The following is a 21,066-nucleotide window of genomic DNA, read 5'->3' on the forward strand; positions in this document are numbered from 1 at the left end:
CAGGCTGCTATAACAAATACCATAGTCTGAGTGGCTTAAACAACTTATATTTCTCACAGTTCTGGAGGCTGGGAAGTCCAAGGTCAAGGTGCCAGCAGGTTTGGTGTCTGTCAAGAGCTCTTTTCTTGGTGTGTAGACTGCTGTCTTCTTTCTGTGGCCTCATATAGTGGAGAAAGAGATAATCTTCCTGGTGTCTCTTCTTATAAGAGCACTGATCCCATTCATGAGGGAAGGGCTCCACCCTTATCCCCTAATTACCTCCCAAAGGCTCCACCTCCTAATGCCATCATATTGGGAATTAGGTTTCAGCGTATGGATTTAGGGCATGGACACAACATTGCATTTATACTACTCCCCTCGTGGAGTGTCTTACTCGGTTCGGGATGCATAACAAATTACTATAGACTGTGATTTAAACAACAAGCATTTATTTCTTACAGTTCTGGAGGCTGGGAATCTAAGATCAGGGTGCCAGCATAGTCAGATTATGGTGAGAGCCCTCTTTCAGGGCTCAAGTTGCAGACAGCCAACTTATCCTTGTATTCTCACATGGTGGAAAGAAGAGCTAGGTAGCTCTCTGACCTCTAATGTCCTCTAGTGGCACTAATCCCACTCATGAGGCCTCCACCCTCATGACCTAATCACCTCCCAAAGGCCCCACCTCCAAGCACCATCACAGTGGGACCAGAGCTTCACCACGTGAATCTTGTGGGGGACACAAACATTCAGTCTATTGCAGAGGAACTGCAAAATTATATGGTAAAGGGTATGTGTAGAAGGAGGGATGAAGACTTGGGAAAAATGTAAATATCACATTTAAATGGGTAATGTCCATCTGTTTACCACCTCAAAATATCTTTCATACTCCTAGAGTTAGGCATACCATGGTTTGAAAATGCTGAAGTATATACTGCACCCTAGTTAACGGCATGATGGCACAACCCACTATGCTGATAACCAACATGTAGAGAAAAGAGTGGGGCCAAGCACAGTGGCTCATGCCTGGAATCCTGGCACTTTGGGAGGCCAAGGCAGGAGGATCAGTTGAAGCCAGGAGTTTGACACTAGCCTGGGAAACATAGTGAGACCTCGTCTCTACAAAAAATAAAAACAAATTAGCCAGATGTGGTGATGAATGCCTGTAGTCCCAGCTACTTAGGAGGCTGAGGAGGGAGAATGGCTTGAGCACAGGACTTTGAGGCTGCAGTATGATAGGACTGCACCACTGTACTCCAGCCTGGGCAACAGAGTGAGACCCTGTCTCTGAGAAAAGAAAAAGAAGGGAAAGAATGGTATTCTGAATTTCATTGTTTCTAAGATGCACATGTTCTCATATTCTAACTTACTTGAACTAGGATAACTCTTATATTTGAGGTGTTTTACAATCACACATAGTTGTGATGAAGCTTCTCTGCCTATACACATACACACTTGGTTGTCATTTCTGGCGGATTGGCTGGGCAACTGCCATCCCTTGACTTTCAGCTAACCAACCAATTAGGGGCCGCCTGAGGAGGAGGTATGTGTCTTGACTGTTGTCTGAAACCCTTTGTTGGAAGCTCTGGCATGAAAAAAGAAAGAGCTACGCGCAAAACTTTCAGAGAGGGTGGCAGTGGTTTGGAAGAAAAGTGCAGAGCCAACAGTGGGTCAGTCATTAAGGACTGGAGCAACACCATCATTCTTGAGGGTATGAGGATAAAACTGTGGAAAACTCCTATCTATGACTCTGAGTTGAAAAGTGATTCATAAGTACTGGATCCTGAATGTGAGGAAGTTTTAGGAAACAAACAATTTATCTCCTTTTTATCCATGCTGTAGAGGAAGATGTGCTTAAAAATTATCTACATAAATCAACAATAGCAATTTCAATGAGTATGCAATGAAAATCCTAAATGATAAGAAAGCATGTGTTATATTTTAACTGGTGGAGCTTTCTCTTCTTAGTGGTCCACAAAGTAACACAAAATAATGGTGTTTCTTACAATTGACAGCTTGCTTGAGTCAGTGAAATGTGATATATAATGAAAAACACTTAAATGGAAGGTATATCAGGTAGCATGGTTTTGCTTGCAAATAATGGGAAATCTAACTAAAACTGACTAAACAGTAAGGAATGTGTTGGCTAAGCAATTGAAAAATTCTAGAGGTTAAGAGCACTTTACAGTTAATTTACACCAACAGGTCAATGGTGGTCAATAAACTCTTCATCTTTCTATTCTTGTGGCTATGGAGGGGAAGGTATGCTGCTTATTTAGGTCAGTCAGCCCCTTCCGATGGAGCTGAAGGTGGAGTCATTTCTACCCAGACTGCAAGACTGCTGTGTAAAAGTGGATGGGATGACGATGGATGAGCAAGAGAGAAAGAAATTCCCACTTTGCAAGAATGCCTAAACTGAGAATCAAGGGTCAGAGAGAAGCAAGTGGTAGGGATGATGGCTTAGGGTTTATTGTGTATGTTTTGAGACACTGTTAGGGTCAAGACAGAGAAGGCTGAGGAGCATTTCCTTCCTTACCCTTAAATTACTTAGACAGAAAGGGAAGAAATGAAGACGGACTTTCAAGGGAATGGGAGACAGAGTCTACAGCCTTAAGGATTTCAGTGCTTTTCACTGCGGAAGGCCGCAGGGTCCTCTGCCTAGGAAAACCAGAGACCTTTGTTCACTTGTTTATCTGCTGACCTTCCCTCCACTATTGTCCTATGACCCTGCCAAATCCCCCTCTGCGAGAAACACCCAAGAATGATCAATAAAAAAAAAAAAAAAAAAGGATTTCAGTGTTTTTGCAAATCTGCTTGATATCAACATGTTGGGCTATAAAAGTATTTCCCACTTGGTGGCCCAACCTATAATTTCACATAAGAAAAAATTCTCCACTCTTAAGTCAAATTTATTTTTATTTTTATTTTTTAAGACACGGTCTCACTCCTGTGGCCCAGGCTGGAGTGTAGTGGTGGAATCATGGCTCACTGCAGCCTCAACATCCTGGGCTCAGGTGATTCTGCCACTTCAGCCTCCTGAGTAGCTGGGACTACAGGCATGTGCCACCATGCCCGGCTAATTTTTTGTATTTTTAGTAGAGGCAGGGTTTCACCATGTTGCCCAGGCTGGTCTCTAACTCCTGCTCTAAAGTGATTTGTCTGCCTCGGCCTCAAATGATTTTTTTTTGTTTTTTGTTTTTGTCTCCCTAGAATTTCTGATGGCTGGGTGCTCAGGCCTGATTAGCATGGAGACATATTGCTCCTGAAGTTTGCTGAAAGGAGAATCTGGAGGCTCACAAATTTGGTTGCTAATGTCATTCTCCAAATTCTAGAGGTGATTGCTGAGTTATGTGCAACACCTGGCATGGGTTTTGGTACAATTTATCATTCCTCCATGGGATAGTATTTGCATGGAAGGTGGTTATATTAAATGCAGCTTTGAAATAAAGAAATCTCATGCTACTCACTTCTGATGGCCCCATCAGAAGTTTATTATGGCAGAGAACACAAACTATGTGCTGCAAAAGTTGTTAGTTTGCTTGTTCACTTGCTCTTTCTCAATCTCTCTCTCCCTGTCTCTCTCTGTCTGTCTGTCTCTCTCTCTCTGAGTAATAAAAAATGATTAATGGAGTAGGCTTAGTTTAGATGAATTCTGTGCAAAGTTATTTTACATAAAATGAATTTTTTTCCACAATACTCTATTTCCATCTCTGCTTTATCATTGCCTTTTTGTTTGAATTAATGCAATAATATTACCAAAGTCATCCTCCATTACACTACCATTTGCTCCCACATTCAAGGCAACGATGTCATTTCCAGATGAAACTATTTGTCCTTGTTAAAACAGACAAGGCAGTTGGTACATTCAGACTCAATTACTAAGTTGCATGATTGATTCCAAGACAGAACTGAGAGCTAAGGCAAATGAAACTTGTCATTAACTGTGCAGTATGTTTTTCTTCTGCTAGATCTGATAGGAGAAAGATTCACATAGCTGGATCTAAGAGGGAAGCGAAAGGGAGTTAGCCCAGATCAGTTCCCAGAAAACAGACTCTAAGACAGAGTTTAGAATGCTAGATGTTTATTAAGGAGTGCCCTTAATCAATACCTGGGGAAGAGAGAGAGAGGAAGCAGGAGTAGGCTGAAGGAGAAGGTGAGCTGGATGTAGACCCAATGATGGACCCTACAGACACAGTGAGGAACTCTGAAGCTGGAAGGACCCTTCAGTGTTGTACTGATGAGCCAAGGTGGCCAGGCCTTATACCACTTCATTGATCAGTTACTGGTGTGAACTGTCCTGAGCAGGAGCATGATTCTGGGTGAGGTGGCTTTTTATAGCTGAGGCAGTCCTTGAAAATGTTGATAGTTGAAGGCTGTCTGCTGGGTTCTAGGTCCTAGACTCAAGGTCAGTGATTCTCAACAAGGGGTGATTTTTTCCCCCTGGGAACATTTGACAATGTCTAGAAATATTTCTGATTAGCACAACTGGAGAGATGCTACTGATATCTAGCTGGTAGCATCCAGGGGTGCTGCTAAACTTACCACAATGCACATAGCCTCCAAGAACAAAGAATTATCTGGTCCAAAATATCAATAGTGCTGAGGTTGGGAAGCCTTGCTCTGGAGCAACAGAACCTGGTGGACATCACAGCATCCATGCCAGGAGTCATCACTAATCAAGATATTACTACTTCTCAGACACAATGCTCATGTTCTTTATTTCTCTTACTCCTTCTACAAACCCTTTGAGGCAGGCCTCAGAGTTTCCATTTACTAAAGAAAAAAGCAGTGCTCAGAGTAGTTCAGTAAACTGACCCACGTTATGAATTGGAAGGACACCAAGATGTGAATTAAAGTGGGCCATCTTGTTGAAAACATTTTGCTATCTTCTGGCTTTCCCTTTGAAAGAGTTCAGAACATACAACCCAAAAATGTGCCCCTCTGGCACATTGACTATTTTGAGTCAAAGGCACGTAAAAAAAGGGCAGGTGCAAGAAGAACACTCTTGCAGTCCTTTTTAAAAGCAGGAGATAAAATTTCCAGTTGAAATATATCCTCCCTGTACTAGAAGAAAAGTGTCATTCTTATCATCAAGGATGGGAAGTTGAGGTCACTGGAAATCTGTCCAAACACACCTTGTTAAACTAACTCTTGTCTTTCTTATCACTTCACCCAATTAACTACCCTAGCCCAAGCCCCTTTACCTTGTCACATCTTCATAATCTACTACTCTTTGTCCAATTTAGTATATGTGTTTAACTTTAACTGCATCTTTCAGTCATCATTTTCTTATGAAGCCTCCAATGCCACATACAACTTGAATTAAATACATTTGTATTGTATTTTTTTTCTTGTTGATCTGTCTTGTGTCAATTTAATTATCAGCCACAACTGAAAAACTCTAGGAAGGTAGAGGTAAAATCTTGCCTTCCCTACACCTTGAGGGCTCAATGCAGAGGTTGTCAAACATTTTTTTTTTCTCTCCAGACATGAGATACATGATGCTCACATGTTCAGTTTGCTCCCATGGAATTCCTGGGGCTCAAGCTGTAAACTCACTTTTATCCTACTTAAAAGGTACAGTGGAACATGACTGGCATGGCACAAATATGGGGATGAATCTGAATCCTCTCTGATTTGTATTTTTAAGTAGACTGTTCCTGAACTCTGAGTCCTTTCTAATCGTAACAAATATATAGTAAGCTTGCAGTTGATTTTCATACGGAGAGTAACGCCTATTGATAGTGTTGGTGAATGCCTGTAAAGAGACTACATCACTTTCAGAGTCTGTGTTACACTGTTGCTTCATGATCTGTATCACTGAATGATTAAGTCATTTAAGAACATTCTTCAGATGTTATTGGCACCTCAAGAACCGTCAGAATCAAAGCATTGACTCATAAATTTAATTTAAAAAGAGCAGCTACTATGTTCCAGAAACTGTTCTACTTTCTCATTATAAACAGTAGAATTCACTATTAATAGTAAAGGCTTCCACAGGAGCAGAAAAAAGCATATATCATTTTACAGACATACAGTTGAGCTTAACAAAGTCAATTTGTACTCTCTCTGAAACAAAATCACATAAATTTTGACGTTTTTAATAGAGCATCATGCAAAGGGAATAAACAAACATAGGCTATGCAATAGTGTTAATAGAAATAAAAGGCAGTACACATTTAGCCAAAAGATATAAACAAAAAGGACTTAGATCTTTTATTATTATTGACCTCAATAGTAATGTTAGTTATTATGGTCCATAGCAGCTGCAGTTTTTAGATTCTAGCATAGTGCCAGTAACTTAAAAAAAAATTCTGTCATTAATTCCAACAGCACATTTCTTTTTTCACTTTTTATTTTATAGATTTAGGGGGTACAAGTGCACTGTTGTTACATGAATATACTGTGTAATGGTGAAGACTAGGCTTTTAGTGTAACCGTCACTCTAACAGTGTACATATACTGTACCCTTCAGGTAGTTTCTCACCCCTTGCCTCCTTCCACCTTTCTGAGTCTTCAATGAATTATTCTACTCTCTATGTCCATGTGTACTCATTTTTTAGCTACCACTAAAATGAGAACATGCAGTATTTGTCTTTCTGTGACTGAGTTATTTCACTTAAAATAATGGTCTCTAGTTCCATCTATATTGCTGCAAAACACATGATTTCATTCTTTTTTGTGGCTGAGTAGTATTCCACCTACCATCTTTTCTTTATCCAGTTCTCCACTGATGGACACTTAGGTTGACTCCATATTGTTACTATTGTGAATTTGTATTGTATTTTTTTTCTTGTTATAGATAGCACTGTGATAAATGCAGGAATAGAGGTTTTTAAAAAAATAATAATTTCTTTTCCTTTGAGGAGATACTGAGCAGTGAGATTGTTGGATGGAATGGTAGTTCTATCTTTAGTTCTTTGAGAAATCTCCGTACTGTTTTCTGTAGAGGTTGTACTAATTTACATTCCCACCAATAGTCCACAACACATTTCTGTATGGTGGGCATTATCTTCCTTTTACAATTGAAAAATACAGACCAGAAAGAGTAAAACAGCTTGGTTGAATTTACACAGAAATCCCTTGGCAGAGAAAGTTGCCATACCCAGACCACTTTCTATAGCTAGAAAGCCTAATTTAGAGTAAAATGTACATTTATATTTGTCAATTCATTTTTTTCAATCAAATTCTCTGAACACTGCTAAGCAAAATATGGCATAAGCAGTACTGTGCTGGTAAATGTTTAAAGACTGGCTGTCAAAAAAGGGGTACATATTATATAAGCTTCTTTTAAATTGTACTGACATAAAGAACATGTAGCACACAATTTACATATAATAATAAATAATATATGTAATACTCTTTATTATACATTCTAAATAGTTTTTTGATTTTCACAGAATGCTTTTGTTGAATTTTACCTAAAATGTGTATCAATAGCCAGTCTGTGGTTTTAACTGTCCCACAATATGGGTCATGAATGTTAATTGATGTTTTCAGATTTTAAGCAACTGATGTGACATCAGGTACCATGGAGCTGGAAAGAGAGACTTGTGTAGTATTTTACCATACACATACGACAGACACACATAATCTCAAGAGCATAGGTAATAGTCAAATGTGCAAAGTAATTAGAAAGGGATGAGTTCTGACTATTGGTTATCTGTGTTTTGATATAATTTATTTCATTGTAGGTTTATATAATTTAATTTCTTAATAATAACTTTAACAATTGCCTCACAAGATTCCTGAAAACTTAGCAGTTGGTTCTCGTGAGCTGATGTAACTGCTGATAGGGAACAGTTACCAGTTAATCAAATATCCCCATTTCCAGTGTCCCCTACTCCAACTCATAGCTCTGAATATGTAAGTAGAGGGCATCCCATTATCAAACAAAATAGATGTTGAGAAAGATGATGTTGCGTAGAGTTGTTTCTTTAATATTCATTGTTATTTTTGTGGTTTATTCACAGGCATTTCCCTGCATCTCAACAGGCATTTATGGTAAGTGATACAGCTTTTGATGATGTTTGTATTTCTTTATTTTGCTGTTAAATGCAGAGATTCAGTGAAAAAATAAGAGGTTCTCTGATGAATATATTTTGCTGTGATTTAGAGACTAAAAATGCTCGTCAAATCCCATTAAAGAATGTCATGAGGCTATTCAGATTCTTTTGGGTTCTTGAATTTGGTTATATCGGGTATCACATGAAATTATTTGATACATTGTGGCTTGATGTCTTTTGTTAAACAAAAAATTTGGTTCCAGTAGGATTGACTTCTAATATTGCTTTGTTTAATGAAATCAAATTTCTTCTCAGTAGAAAGCATAATGTACATAGAGTTTAGCAGTATCATTATTTTGTTGCTATTTACAAAATAATAGAAAAATTAAAATGCATACATATGCATATATCTGTGTTTTCAAATTTTAAAAAAGTCCAAAGAAGTGACTTTTACTAAATATGAAGAATTTTAATAAACTGCAAATTTTTTTTTCTGCATAGTGATGGATTGTGTTAAGTAGTGAATGCCTCACTTACAGATGGAAGCAAAATGTTTCTTAATCACTTGCTTTCACTAGCCTAAAGCTCTCTAAATATTCTTCCACCTACCTACAAGAACTTTTTTATACTTTTTTTCAGACCATTAATAAGTCTGTTTTATAATGTTAAAGATTTTCTGATCTAAGTGAAATAGATTACATTCTTTCTGAACTTAAACTTCTCACATGGAAGCTGTCAGCTGAAGCACAAAATATGTAAAAATCTAACATATATGTATATATTTTAAATTCATTATTACAATGAAGGACTACCTAGATTGATGTCAAAGGTAGGAGCTTTACTTTTTTTCTTCATCTGGTATTTCTTTTGAAGGTCTTGAGCAAAATAAAATGAGAAATGTAGGCCTGAACCAAATTAAGTGGGAAAGGATTTTGTCACACTATTTAAAAATTTAAGGTTTCCTCCTTCAATTTAAGCCTTCTTCCTCTCCAGATTCCCCTACAGCCTGTCTTTGTGGAAACAGGATGAGCACTGGGCTGGAGGGGGCTAAACTAGACCATCTGCACAATTATCCCCATCATGGCCATTCTTTCTGCCTCACAAATGCCCAATAACAAACCTTAAATATTTGCTTAAAGGAAGTATTATGTACAAAGTTATGCCTGGCAAATACCCTAACTCTTTATTTCGCCTTATGTAGAGTCAAACCAAACTTCATTGCAGAAATGGTTTTTATTATGAAAATGTTCTTTCATTGCAATCTTGATTTTCCTTGCCAAAAAAACAAACAAAAACCTAATGCCTACACCAATACTGTATACATCATTTTCTATGTTTATTACCTTGTCAGAGAGTTGAAGTATGTTTTACTTCTGAGAATCTTATGGTAATGTGTTAAGAGCTTCAAAAAGGGAATTGATGTAATATATATGGTATACTATAAGTAGGGGGGTGGTGGGAAAGGAAAACAGAAAAGCAAAGGAAAATAGGGAAGGACCATAAAATTAGAGGCTCCAATATGATCATGTCAATAGATGCAGAAAAAGCAATTGATAAAATCCAGCATCCTTTATGATAAAAACCCTCAACAAAATGGGCATAGAAGGGACTTACATTAAAGTAATAAAAGCCATATATGACAAACCAACAACCAACATCATACTGAATGGGGAAAAGTTAAAAGCATTCCCCATGAGAACTGGAACAAGACAAGGATGCCCATTTTCACCACTTGTTTTCAACATAGCACTGGAAATTTTAGCCAGAGCAATCAGACGAGAGAAAGAAATAAAAGGCATCCAAGTCAAAAAAGCAGAAGTTAGACTGTTGCTGTTCTCTATAATATGATCATTTACCTAGAAAACCCTAAAACTCACACAAAAAGCTCCTCAATCTGATAAACGAATTCAGGAATGTCTCAGGATACCAAATCCATGTACAGAAATCAGTAGCACTGCTATAAACCAACAACAACCAAGTTGAGAATCAAATCAGGAACTCAATCCCTTTCACAAGAGCTGCAAAAAAAAAAAAAAAAAAAAGATAAAATATTTAGGATTATACTTAACCAAGGAGGTGAAACATCTCTACAAGACAAACTATGAAACACTGCTGAAAGTACTCAGAGATGACACAAACAAATGGAAATATATCCCATGCTCATGGATGGGTAGAATCAGTATTGTGAAAATGACCATACTTCCTACAGATTCCCATCAAAATACCATCATCATTCTTCACAGAACTAGGAAAAAAAAGCTGAAAATTCATATGGAACCAAAAAAACAGCCTGCATAGCCAAAGTAATATTAAGCAAAAAAAAAAATCTGGAGGCATGACATTACTCAACTTCAAATTATACTACAGGTCTATAACTAACAAAACAGCATGGTACTCCTATAAAGCAGGCACATAGACCAACAGAACAGAATAAAGAATCCAGATATAAAGCCAAATACTTACAGCAAACTGATCTTCAACAAAGCATACAAAAACATAAATTGGGGAAAGGATATCCTATTCAATAAATGGTGCTGGGAAACCTGGCAAGCCACAAGTAGAATGAAACTAGATCCTCATTTCTCACCTCACACAAAAATCAACTCAAGATGGAGCAAAGACTTAAATCTAAGACCTGAAACCATAAAAATTCTGGAAGAAAACTCTTCTAGACACTGGCTTAGGCAAAGAATTCATGACTAAGACCTCAAAAGCAGATGCAACAAAAACAAAAATAAATAATTGGGACCTAAATTAACTAAAAAGCTTCTGCACAGCAAAATAAATAATCAGCAAGCAGACAATCCACAGAGTGGGAGAAAATATTTGCAAACTATGCATCTGACCAAGAACTAATACCCAGAATCTATAAGGAACTCAAACATATCAGCAAGAAAAAAAAAATCCCATAAAAAATGGGCAAAGGACATAGACAATTCTCAAAAGAAGATATGCAAGCAGCCAACAAACATGTGAAAAAATGCTCAACCTCACTAATTATCAGGGAAATGCAAGTTAAAACCACGATGAGATACCACCTTACTCCTGCAAGAATGGCCATAATTAAAAAGTCAAAAAACAATAGATGTTGTGGTGGATGTGGTGGAAAGGGAACACATTTACACTGCTGGCGGGAATGTAAATTAGTACAACCATTATGGAAAATGGTATGGAGATTCCTTAAAGAGCTCAAAATAGAACTACCATTCCATCCAGCAATCCACTACTGAGTATTTATCCAGAGGAAAAGAAGTCGTTATATGAGAAAGACACTTGCACATGCAAGTTTATAGCAGCACAATTCACAATTGCAAAGATATGGAACCAACCTAAATGCCCATCAACCAATGAGTAGATAAAGAAAATGTGGTATGTATATACCCCATGGAATACTACTCAGCCATGAAAAGGAATGAAATAATGTCTTTTGCAGCAATGTGGATGGAGCTGGAGGCCATTATTCTAAGTGAAGTAACTTTAGAAATGGGAAGTCAAGTATTGTATGTTCTCACTTTGATGTTAGAACTAAGCTATGAGGATGCAAAGGCATAAGAATGATATCATGGACTTTGGGGACTTGAGGGTGACGGGTGGGAGGGGTTTGAGGGATGTAAAACTGTCTGTTGGATGCAGTGTACACTGCTTGGGTGACAGGTACGCCAATATCTCAGAAATTACCACCAAAGAATTTTTGCATGTAACCAAAAACCACATGTACCCCCAAAAATGTTGAAATAAAAATACAATTTAAAAAAGTTTAAAAAGGCATTTTACTTAATCACTATAATACAAAAAAGCAGAAGAAAACACATTTTCCAATACAGTAGACATAACTTAAAAATATTCAAGTATCTCATGAGATCTGTGGTATATTTATGTATCTATAATTCATTAACAATTCATCTTTCACTTAATAATAATATTTATTTGTTCCACACACAATGTAATAATTTAAACACACACACAAAAGAATTGTTAGATCATATTATATGGACATGTTTAACTGTATTGTGAAATACCAAACTGTTTTCTAAAGTGATTGAATCAATTTATACTCCTACCCACTCTACCCACTCCATTTGAAGATCACCATGTTCCCTGTCCTCCCCAGTGTTTGGTATTGCCAGTCTCTAAAATTGTTGCCAATTTACTGAGTGTGAAATTTTATCCCATTGTGGTTTAAATTTGCATTTTCTTGATTATTAATAAAGTAAACTTTTTAAATATCAAAAACAAAAGAGTCTCCAGAGTGGACAGTAAGAACTAACTAAAATCTAGAGTGGATCATGGTCCATTTTAATCTGTGAAGAATAGGGATTTCACCCTAGAGAGAGTAATGTGGTTCAAAATATAATAACTGATTCAGTACACCATTGTGGCGAATGGGAGGGAAATAGTGAAGATTGTCAGGCATGGCATTAATAGTGTGAGTCACATTAGCTGGCTTGGAGGGCTGTCACCAGGCAAGTTTAGTCATTTTCACAATGCTAGGTCAAAGAAAATACTTCTTCAGTCCTGGCTACTTGTCTCTTTCTCCTCTGTTTTTTGGTAAATTTACAAGTGAGACTGATATACACAAAGGTCGCATGCCATATTGCTTTTGGTTAGTCCCCCTGGGGTTGAAACCTAACTTTCCTTTTAGCTTCATAACCTTCTGTTTCAGTAACTTTAGATTGCTATGTCTCTGTGGTTTATAGACCATTCAGCATTATGCAACTTGAAAATTACTTCATATGTCCTGCATTAGTCCGTTTTCATGCTGCCGATAAAGAAATACCTGAGACTCCGTAATTCACAAAAGAAAGAGGTAATTGGACTCACAGTTCCACATGGCTGGGGAGGCCTCACAATCATGGTGGAAGGCAAGGAAGAGCAAGTCACGTCTTACATGGATGGCAGCAGACAGAAAGAGAGCTTGTGCAGAGAAACTCCTGTTTTCAAAACCATCACATCTCATGAGACCCATTAACTATCACAACAACAGCAAAGGGAAGACCCACCCACATGATTCACTCATCTCCCACTTAGTCCTTCCCACAATATGTGGGAATTATGGGAGCTACAGGAGGAGATTTGGGTGGGGACACAGAGCCAAACCATACCATTTATGGTTTATAGACCATTCAGCATTATGCAACTTGAAAATTATTTCATATGTCCCTGGTGAAGTTACAGCTTTCTCAGTCCTTGCTTCTTTCCCAGGATCTGTGTATTACAGACTAGTTTTCTTGCTCTTATTTGAAGCCCTCTTCCTCCTTCATTAACCAGATAAGTTTTCTTTCATCTTTTTTTTATTAGGGTTTGACGTAATATTCTATTTAAAGAAAGTGGTCCATAGCTGAAAAGAAAAATTTTACAAAGCAAACACAACTCCCAACATTTTTGTAAGTCATACTAGAATGGAGGTAGAGAAGGTTTTTAGAATCATTTCCTGGTGGCACTCTTTTTCTTTCTTGTTCCATATTCCAAATCTCACTAGAATTGTTTTTCTAAAATACCACTTGGTGCGTGCTTCCCATCTGCCCAGGAGCCTTTGCTCATATTCTATTGCTTGCAGATTGATGTTCACTCTTCCTAGCCTGAACAATGGGCACTTTCTATATCTCCATAAACTAGTGCTTTCAAAATGTGTGAGAGGGAGGGAAATTGGTGTGCTAAGGATGTAAATTGGTGTGCTAAGAAATTTATATATGCCTTTTCCTTTGCATCTTTAAAAGGGGGATTTAATTTATGGCAGTTCTTAAAGTTATTTGATGATAGAAACTAGTATATCCTCAACATTTCTCTGGACTATGTTTTCTTCAGAATATAGTTTGAGAAATTTCTTGGTACCCATTCATCATGGTTATATCTTCTGTGACCCACATGTACATGATCTGATGAATATAAGAACTTGCCATTGCACAGTGAGGTCCAATCTTGGGTCCCTTCCTGAAACTTACTCCTTAACACCTCTTCCCCAATGCACACACACCAAATTCGCACATACCATCACCACCAGTGTTGTCTATCTCATGCCCCAAACAGAAACATGCCAAGCACATTTAAGCAGACTGAAACATTTTTAAAAAGTTTTATTTTAGGTTTGGGGGTACATGTGAAGGTTTGTCACATAGGTGAACTTGTGACACAAGGGTTTGCTATACAGATTAGTTCATCACCCAGGTATTGAGCCCAGTGCCCATTACCTTTTTCTGCTCCCCTCCTTCCTCTCACCCTCCACCCTCGAGTAGACCCCAGAATCTGTAGTTCCCTTCTTTGTGTTCATGAGTTCTCATTATTTAGCTTTCACTTATAAGTGAGAACATACACTATTTGGTTTTCTTTTCCTCTGTTAGTTTACTAAGGATAATAGCTTCCAGCTGCATCCGTATTCCTGCAAAAGACATAATCTCCTTTTTTTTTATGGCTGCATGGTATTCCATGGTGTATATGTACCACATTTCCTTTATCCACTCTGTCACTGATGGGCATTTAGGTTGATTTCATGTCTTTGCTATTGTGAATAGTGCTGCAATGAACAGTCACATGCATGTGTCTGTATAGTGGAACGTTTTATATTCCAACAAAAATTAGCCATGGTAGTGGGCATCTATAATCCCAGCTACTCAGGAGGCTGAAGCAGGAGGATTGCTGGAACCCGGGAGGTGGAAGTTGCAGTGAGCCAAGATCACACCATTGCACTCCAGCCTGGGCAAGAAGAACAAAACTCCGTAAAAAAAAAAAAGAATGATTTATATTCCTCTGGGTATATAACTAGTAATAGAATTGGTAGGTCAAGTGATAGTTCTGCTTTGAGCTCTTTGAGGAGTCGCCATACTACTTTCCACAATGGTTGAACTAATTCACACTCCGACCAACAGTGTGTAAGTGTTCCCTTTTCTCTGCAACCTTGCCAGCATCAGTTATTTTTTGACTTTTTAAGAATAGCCATTCTGACTGGTGTGAGATGGTATCTCACCGTGGTTTTGATTTGCATTTGTCTAATGATAAGTGCATTGAGCTTTTTTTCATTGGCTTGTTGGCCACATGTATGTCTTCTTTTGAGAAGTGTCTGTTCATGTCCTTTGCCCACTTTATAATGGGGTTGTTTGTTTATCTCATGTAAATTTGTTTAACAGGCTGAAACTTGATCTGCAGGAAGTCTTCCTTAGGTATGCCAACCCTTGGTGGTCATTATACTTTCTGAAATTTTTTTAGCATTTGTGTCAGGACAATTATCAACTGCTTCCTCATGTTGCTCCATAGATTGCTGTTTATATATTCTGTGCTCACAGCCAGTTTGGAATTTAAAGAGCAGGAATTCACTTCTGCATATCCTTTGCACACCCAGTGCCTAGCAAAGCACTGTGTCTCTAGGAGAAGCTCAGCAAATATTTGGTTCATGACAGCAGTGATTGTAATCCAAATTGTTGCCTAACTGAAGATATAGAAATCAGAATTCTTGATTGGCAAAATAACAGGTAAAGAAAGCTACCCAGTTGGTATTTTCTTAATGGGCAAACATTTCTATTCTAGGAAAAACAAATGTGTTTTTAAAAGGCATTCTCAAACTGGAAGTTTGTATTTGTAGGTATGGCAGTGTCCACCCTGTCAAGGTAAAATGGAAACTCAAGAACTTATTCAGTTAGAGAGCCAAACTAAATACAGCATTTTACTTCAGTTAAAATAGAACCCCTTTGTGGTTTATTACAGCCCATGGAACAATGGTCACTCAGGAACATACAGGTCAGCTGGCCATCCAGGAGGCCCTGTTCTGACTTCTCCGAATGTACCCCAGACCCAGCCCATCTCTCCAGTAGCTGCCATTTCTCACACACCTGTTTGCTTTGGAGTTACCTTCACTTTTAGATTTATGCCCCAAAAGTCCACTGTAATCCTAGTTCTGCTATAATGAAATTTTGAGGATGGCAGAGCTACCTTTCAAATGGATTTTGTTATTTAATCACTGAGATTATTTTATAACAGGATAATTTCAAGAGTGAGCATACCCATTTCCTGGAAACTCGGACCTCAGCATCACACTCACAGTGTGTCTGGAGGACCTGGCCAGGCGCCAGTACTTTGGGGGTGCTCAGGACCCTGGCAGCTCTCCTAGCTTTCTCTCCCTCTGCAGCCCTATAGCCACAAACCATCAATTGCAGTGAAACCACCTTAGCCTTTTTGTAAGGCACAGCCTGAGGAATATCCTCCATGTGATTAACCTGATTTAAGGAGGAGACAGGATGAGAGCAGACACTGCCTTCTTTGAAGTTCCCCTGGAAGAGGCCAGACTTTTCCACTCTGACATTCAGTGAGCACTGTTGCTACTCCAACGTGACGTTTCCAGGATGGTTCCACAGGGCACCAGACCACCTGCTTACACTCAGGATGAAAAGCCTCGTTTGGTCAAATACCAAAGAAAGCCCTGTGCTACTTTTGGAAAAATAGATCCAGATGAGGCTTTCAGGGCTTGAAATCCCTAGATTCCTGTTAAAATTTTGCACTGGCCTCTAAAGCAGTCTCTAAACAGATCTGAACCTCCCTGATGGACATTTCAGATCTCAGGCGTGCTTTCTGCCCTTTGAGCCCTATTTTGACACTCTAATGCTAATAAATTTAACAAAAGAGGCTAGACATAATACATGGCAATGGAATTTTTACTGAGAAGTGAATGGCAAAAATGATTTTAGTCAATTTTATGAGAGTCAATATAGTTAACAGAAATCGACTCCTGGCTGAAAAGTGTATTCCGTGAGTACTTAAAAATTTGGAAAATATTTTCCCTGGAAAAAAAGAAAAACTTTGAAGTTTGCTTTCCAGGTATGACGTGGCATATGTAGAGAGGAAGGAATTTCAGACATTGAGTTATTGGCTGTAAATGTGAGGAAAAATTGAAGTGCAGCATAGCTTAGCTGAAGCAGCTCTCGTGTTTATCCAATATAGTTTTGTTATCAACGTGGAGTGCCTGTTTCTATCAGATCACCTGGTCTCTTTCTGCTATCCACCACATGCTGGCAGGCTGCAACTTTCTAATTGAATCCCTCATTTGCATTCAAGTTTGCTCTGCTTCTAACTGGTAAAAAGGAGACCAGCGCAATGTTATGTTAACCTTGTATCTACTTGGCAAATATTTTTATCAGTACATCTGTCTAGAGTCACAGACATGACTTGGAAAAAAATTAGGGCATTCTCCAACGGCAATGCCAAGGGCATGCCCTTCATCAGCTTTAAATGCTGACAGATTTGAGAAGGTGTGACAATCATTGCTGTGCATATTTACAGAGGAAGGAAGAGTTCTCTTATGTAATGCATTGGGAACCAGAGCAAAACTGACAAAATTATGCACCCCTTCCTTTTATCACCCTAATGGCTCTCCTCCTTCCTTTGGCTTTTTTCTCTTCCCTTTGATATTTCCATTTGCTTTAAAAACTTACTCTCAGGTGGTCTAATGATGACTCTTTTCACTGTCGTAAAATCTCTGCTCTGGCAACCTAAGTTTTTTATCTTGTCAAATTATTCCCACTGTAAGAAATGTTATCATTCTTGGCAAAGCAAAGTAACATTAGAATCAGTGTAACTTACTTCCCTTGGGAAAATGCAGTGCTGGGGCCAAGCCTATCTCTATCATAGCTCGTTTGAATATCACTTTATGAGCTAACACTTTTGAGACAGTGGAGAGACAACTTGACAGACAGCAAAATTCTGGCTATTCAATTGTTTCTAACCCTGAGTGCTTATCATTTGGACAGACAAGTTTAGCTAACATTCTCATTCACAGAAACATTGATACATACATCCCAGAAAATATGGTACAGACTCCTCTCGTGCTCTCCATACCCTACCCACGTCTTTAATATTAAAATGACATCAAACTAAGAACCCAAAGGACTAACTTCACTCTGGAAAGTAGTCTCAAGTGACCAACTACAAAATATGCTAGTTCAGTGTACATAAAAATGGCAGTGAAACCCATGGGCAGGATTCCTCTAGGGGACCTGACAAAAGAGATGAAAATCCTGGAAACTTAGTTTTTCTGGAATGCAGAGGCAGTGAGAAACCAGTGTCAGTCTTCCTGATGTTCTGTTCCAGATGAACAATTTTGGGACTTAATTAAAAGATTAAGTGTTTCACTATGCAATATATGCATGGAAGAAACTTGTATGTGGGCCCTCTAATTATATAAAAATAAATAATTAAAAAAGAAAACAAAAATTAAAAATAATTAAGTGATTCAAAAAGTAATAAAGATCACAACTGTCTGACTGTTTCTGGGGTTTGGATGTGCACTCCCTTGTAGTTGTGTCAAGGTAAAAGTGATTGAAGCCTGGAAGGCATCACTGAATTCCCACCCACCCCTTCCTCAGATGTATCACTTATTGTTATGCTATAATTTTTAAAAAATGATTTTCTGAATAGACGAAACATTGAAACAGTAAGCCTTTTAAGGAAATAGAAAAACTATGCTAGGAAATTACAGAGCCAATCCATTGAGCAGTAACTCTGGGAATATCTTTCAGGTACCTTGAAAAATAGGAGCACTATTAAGAAGCTCCTTCTAAAGAACTGTTTTGGAGTGTTGAAGAATTGTCCACACTTGGACTTTGATCACTGAAATAATTTCTACGTCCTTGCTTGTTTTTCTCATCTAGTCTTGAATGACATTCCTTTTCCTTGCTCCTTGTACATACTTGTGTCTAAAGGGTAAACGTAAATAAACATAGCCCTCTTCAAAAAGAACTTCAAAAATAATTTGACAGGTCTTAGAGAAGTCAAATGTGTTTAGCTCCTTAGGACAATGACTTTTATGTCAAATCCTTTTTGGTCAATGATACTCTTTTAAAAATGTATTGTGAAATGTATGTGAACAAGACCATATTAGTTAGGGTAAAGTTAAACTGTTCTAACAAAAAGACTCCGAAATAGACTGGCTTATTGAATATCATGTTTATTTACCACTCTGCTAACAGGAAGCATTCTGCTTGTGGAGGATTTGTTCCACTCTGTCATTCAAGGAGCCAGGAATCTACCATGGTGTCAATGCCTTCCCGAAGGTATTGGTCTCATTTACTTACCCGCCCTGGTGCTGGCAAAAGATGTGTATATGGCAAGCACACCCTCTGTCTAATGGTCCCTCTACTCAAAGTAGCATTCATCACTTCCACTCACCTTCCATTTAAGAGAAATTGGTCTTGTGACCAATGTCTGCAAAGGAGGTTGGAAAATTTAGTCTAGCTTGGGGTCTACACATCTGACTACAATTCTATTACATGGAAAGAAGGGAATATCACATTTTGATGGACTTCCAGATATTTACCACCCAAAGAGAAAAGAAAAACAAATTAAATCAACAGGTTGCTCGTAGATAAATTAGTTTAGGGGCAGTGTCAGCCACCCGTAATGGGTACTTGCTTTGCAAGAATATTTGGTAATTTTGATAGCATATACTTTATTAAAATGTCTTTATAATGCTGAGTGCTTACAAATTTGAAAGTATGAAATTTTTAAGGCATAAGGACAGTGATCTATCTTTAGTTGTCAGACACTATATTTAGATATTTAGACCTCACCTCAATTGTTTACATTTTTTGGTACCAAAACTCCTTGCAAAATTTTCAGATACATCAGTGGAAACTAAAATCAATACATTGAGAATGAATACATAATTGCATTATTTATTACATTCTAATTCTGGCCCATTTCCATAGAAATCCTTGGAGGCATCAATCGCAATTTGTTTCTGCAACACTCTAAGGCTGTGGGGCCACAGTCATCCATAAACATACCAGGAGTCCTGAGCAGATATGGATTTACATCCTGTGTACCTAGGAACTCTGGGGAAATGTGAGTTTAGGGCAGAGTCTGATCATAGTTGAGTGGAAATATTACAGAGAAAGAGAGAGAAAATGATCATATGAATATGAATCTAAATCTCCTGGGTAGTCAAAGGAAATCTCCTTAGAATCTTTAGAGCTGAAGATAATAGTTCATACCTGTTTCCCATTTCAGCCGTGAACAACAGGGAGAGTTTCCTACAAGTGACTGCAAATTGAACTGAAATTAACAAAATCGACATGAAATTGCCTCACTTTGTACTTTATTGACCTGACTTCATTTCTAAATGTTTTAAATGAATCCAGTTTTACCAAAATGTTCCTAGATCTTCTTAAGCAATTGCGTTTTTGGTAAAATGCACTTTCCCTTTACTTGAGATTTCCATTCTGGTAATTGTGACTTAGCTTATGAAACTGGGCTCTAAGTTCTGTCACTGTTATATTCCAGCACCTAGCTCAGAGCAGGATGCAGAGTAAATCTTAATAAATATCTGTTTCATGGCTAAAAAATACATAAGCAGCTCTCCAATGTAAGGAGGCTACTGGCCTGTTCTGTCCACTCTAGAGATCATACTCTGGATTCAATAATTACTGAGTCTATGACACCCTGGTTTCTATTTTTTTACTTACTCTAAGGAATGATTTCATTCAGATTTTAAGACGATAACAGGAGAGTCAGTTAATAAAAATAGAGCCTAATCTTTTAGATGTGGTTAATTTTTAAAGCGGTTTTATTAAACTGTAATTCACAGAGTTGCACAACAACCATCATAATCTATGTTCATCATGCCCAAAAGAAATCCCACATTAGCTGTCACTCCGTCCCCTCTCTCTCAACCTTGGGCAACTGCTAATCTACACTTGATCTCTATAGATTTGCCTGTTTTGGGTATTTCATGTAAATGGAATCATAAACTATGTGATCTTTTGTGACTACTTTCCTTCATGTAGCAAAATATATTCAAAGTTCGTCCATGTCATAGCATCTGTAATTAATCTCTTTTTATTAGTGTTCCTTTGTATCAATGTTCCACATTTTGTCTGTTCATTCAGGATATGTGCACTGTTTCTACTTTTTGGCTGTTGTGAACGATGTTTAGATGCAGCTCATTTAAGCATAATTACATCGCTAAATATACGCACTATAAATGTAAAACAGTGGTGTTCTGTAGTTAATTTTTAGTCTTCCTTGCTGTTTCCATTCTTTGGTCCTCTAGTTTCTCTCAGGCCTCTCCAAAGCTACTTTTGCTTGATGGCTCTGGTGTCCTGCT

At 37.9% G+C, this 21,066-nt stretch overlaps 1 protein-coding gene across 5 annotated transcripts in view; it reads left to right on the forward strand.

Annotated features, from left to right (window-relative positions):
* The window catches only part of MACROD2 (mono-ADP ribosylhydrolase 2), a 2,057,682-nt gene that overhangs the window by 1,427,940 nt on the left and 608,676 nt on the right, over positions 1 to 21,066 (forward strand). For all 5 annotated transcript variants that reach the window (NM_001351661.2, NM_001351663.2, NM_080676.6 and 2 more), the window contains one exon: positions 7,950 to 7,980. In NM_001351661.2, the coding sequence (NP_001338590.1) occupies positions 7,950 to 7,980 (31 nt within the window). The remainder of the gene's footprint in view (positions 1 to 7,949; positions 7,981 to 21,066) is intronic.

The sequence above is a fragment of the Homo sapiens genome, chromosome 20, assembly GCF_000001405.40.
Source record: "Homo sapiens chromosome 20, GRCh38.p14 Primary Assembly".
In the NCBI taxonomy this organism is placed as follows: domain Eukaryota; kingdom Metazoa; phylum Chordata; class Mammalia; order Primates; family Hominidae; genus Homo; species Homo sapiens.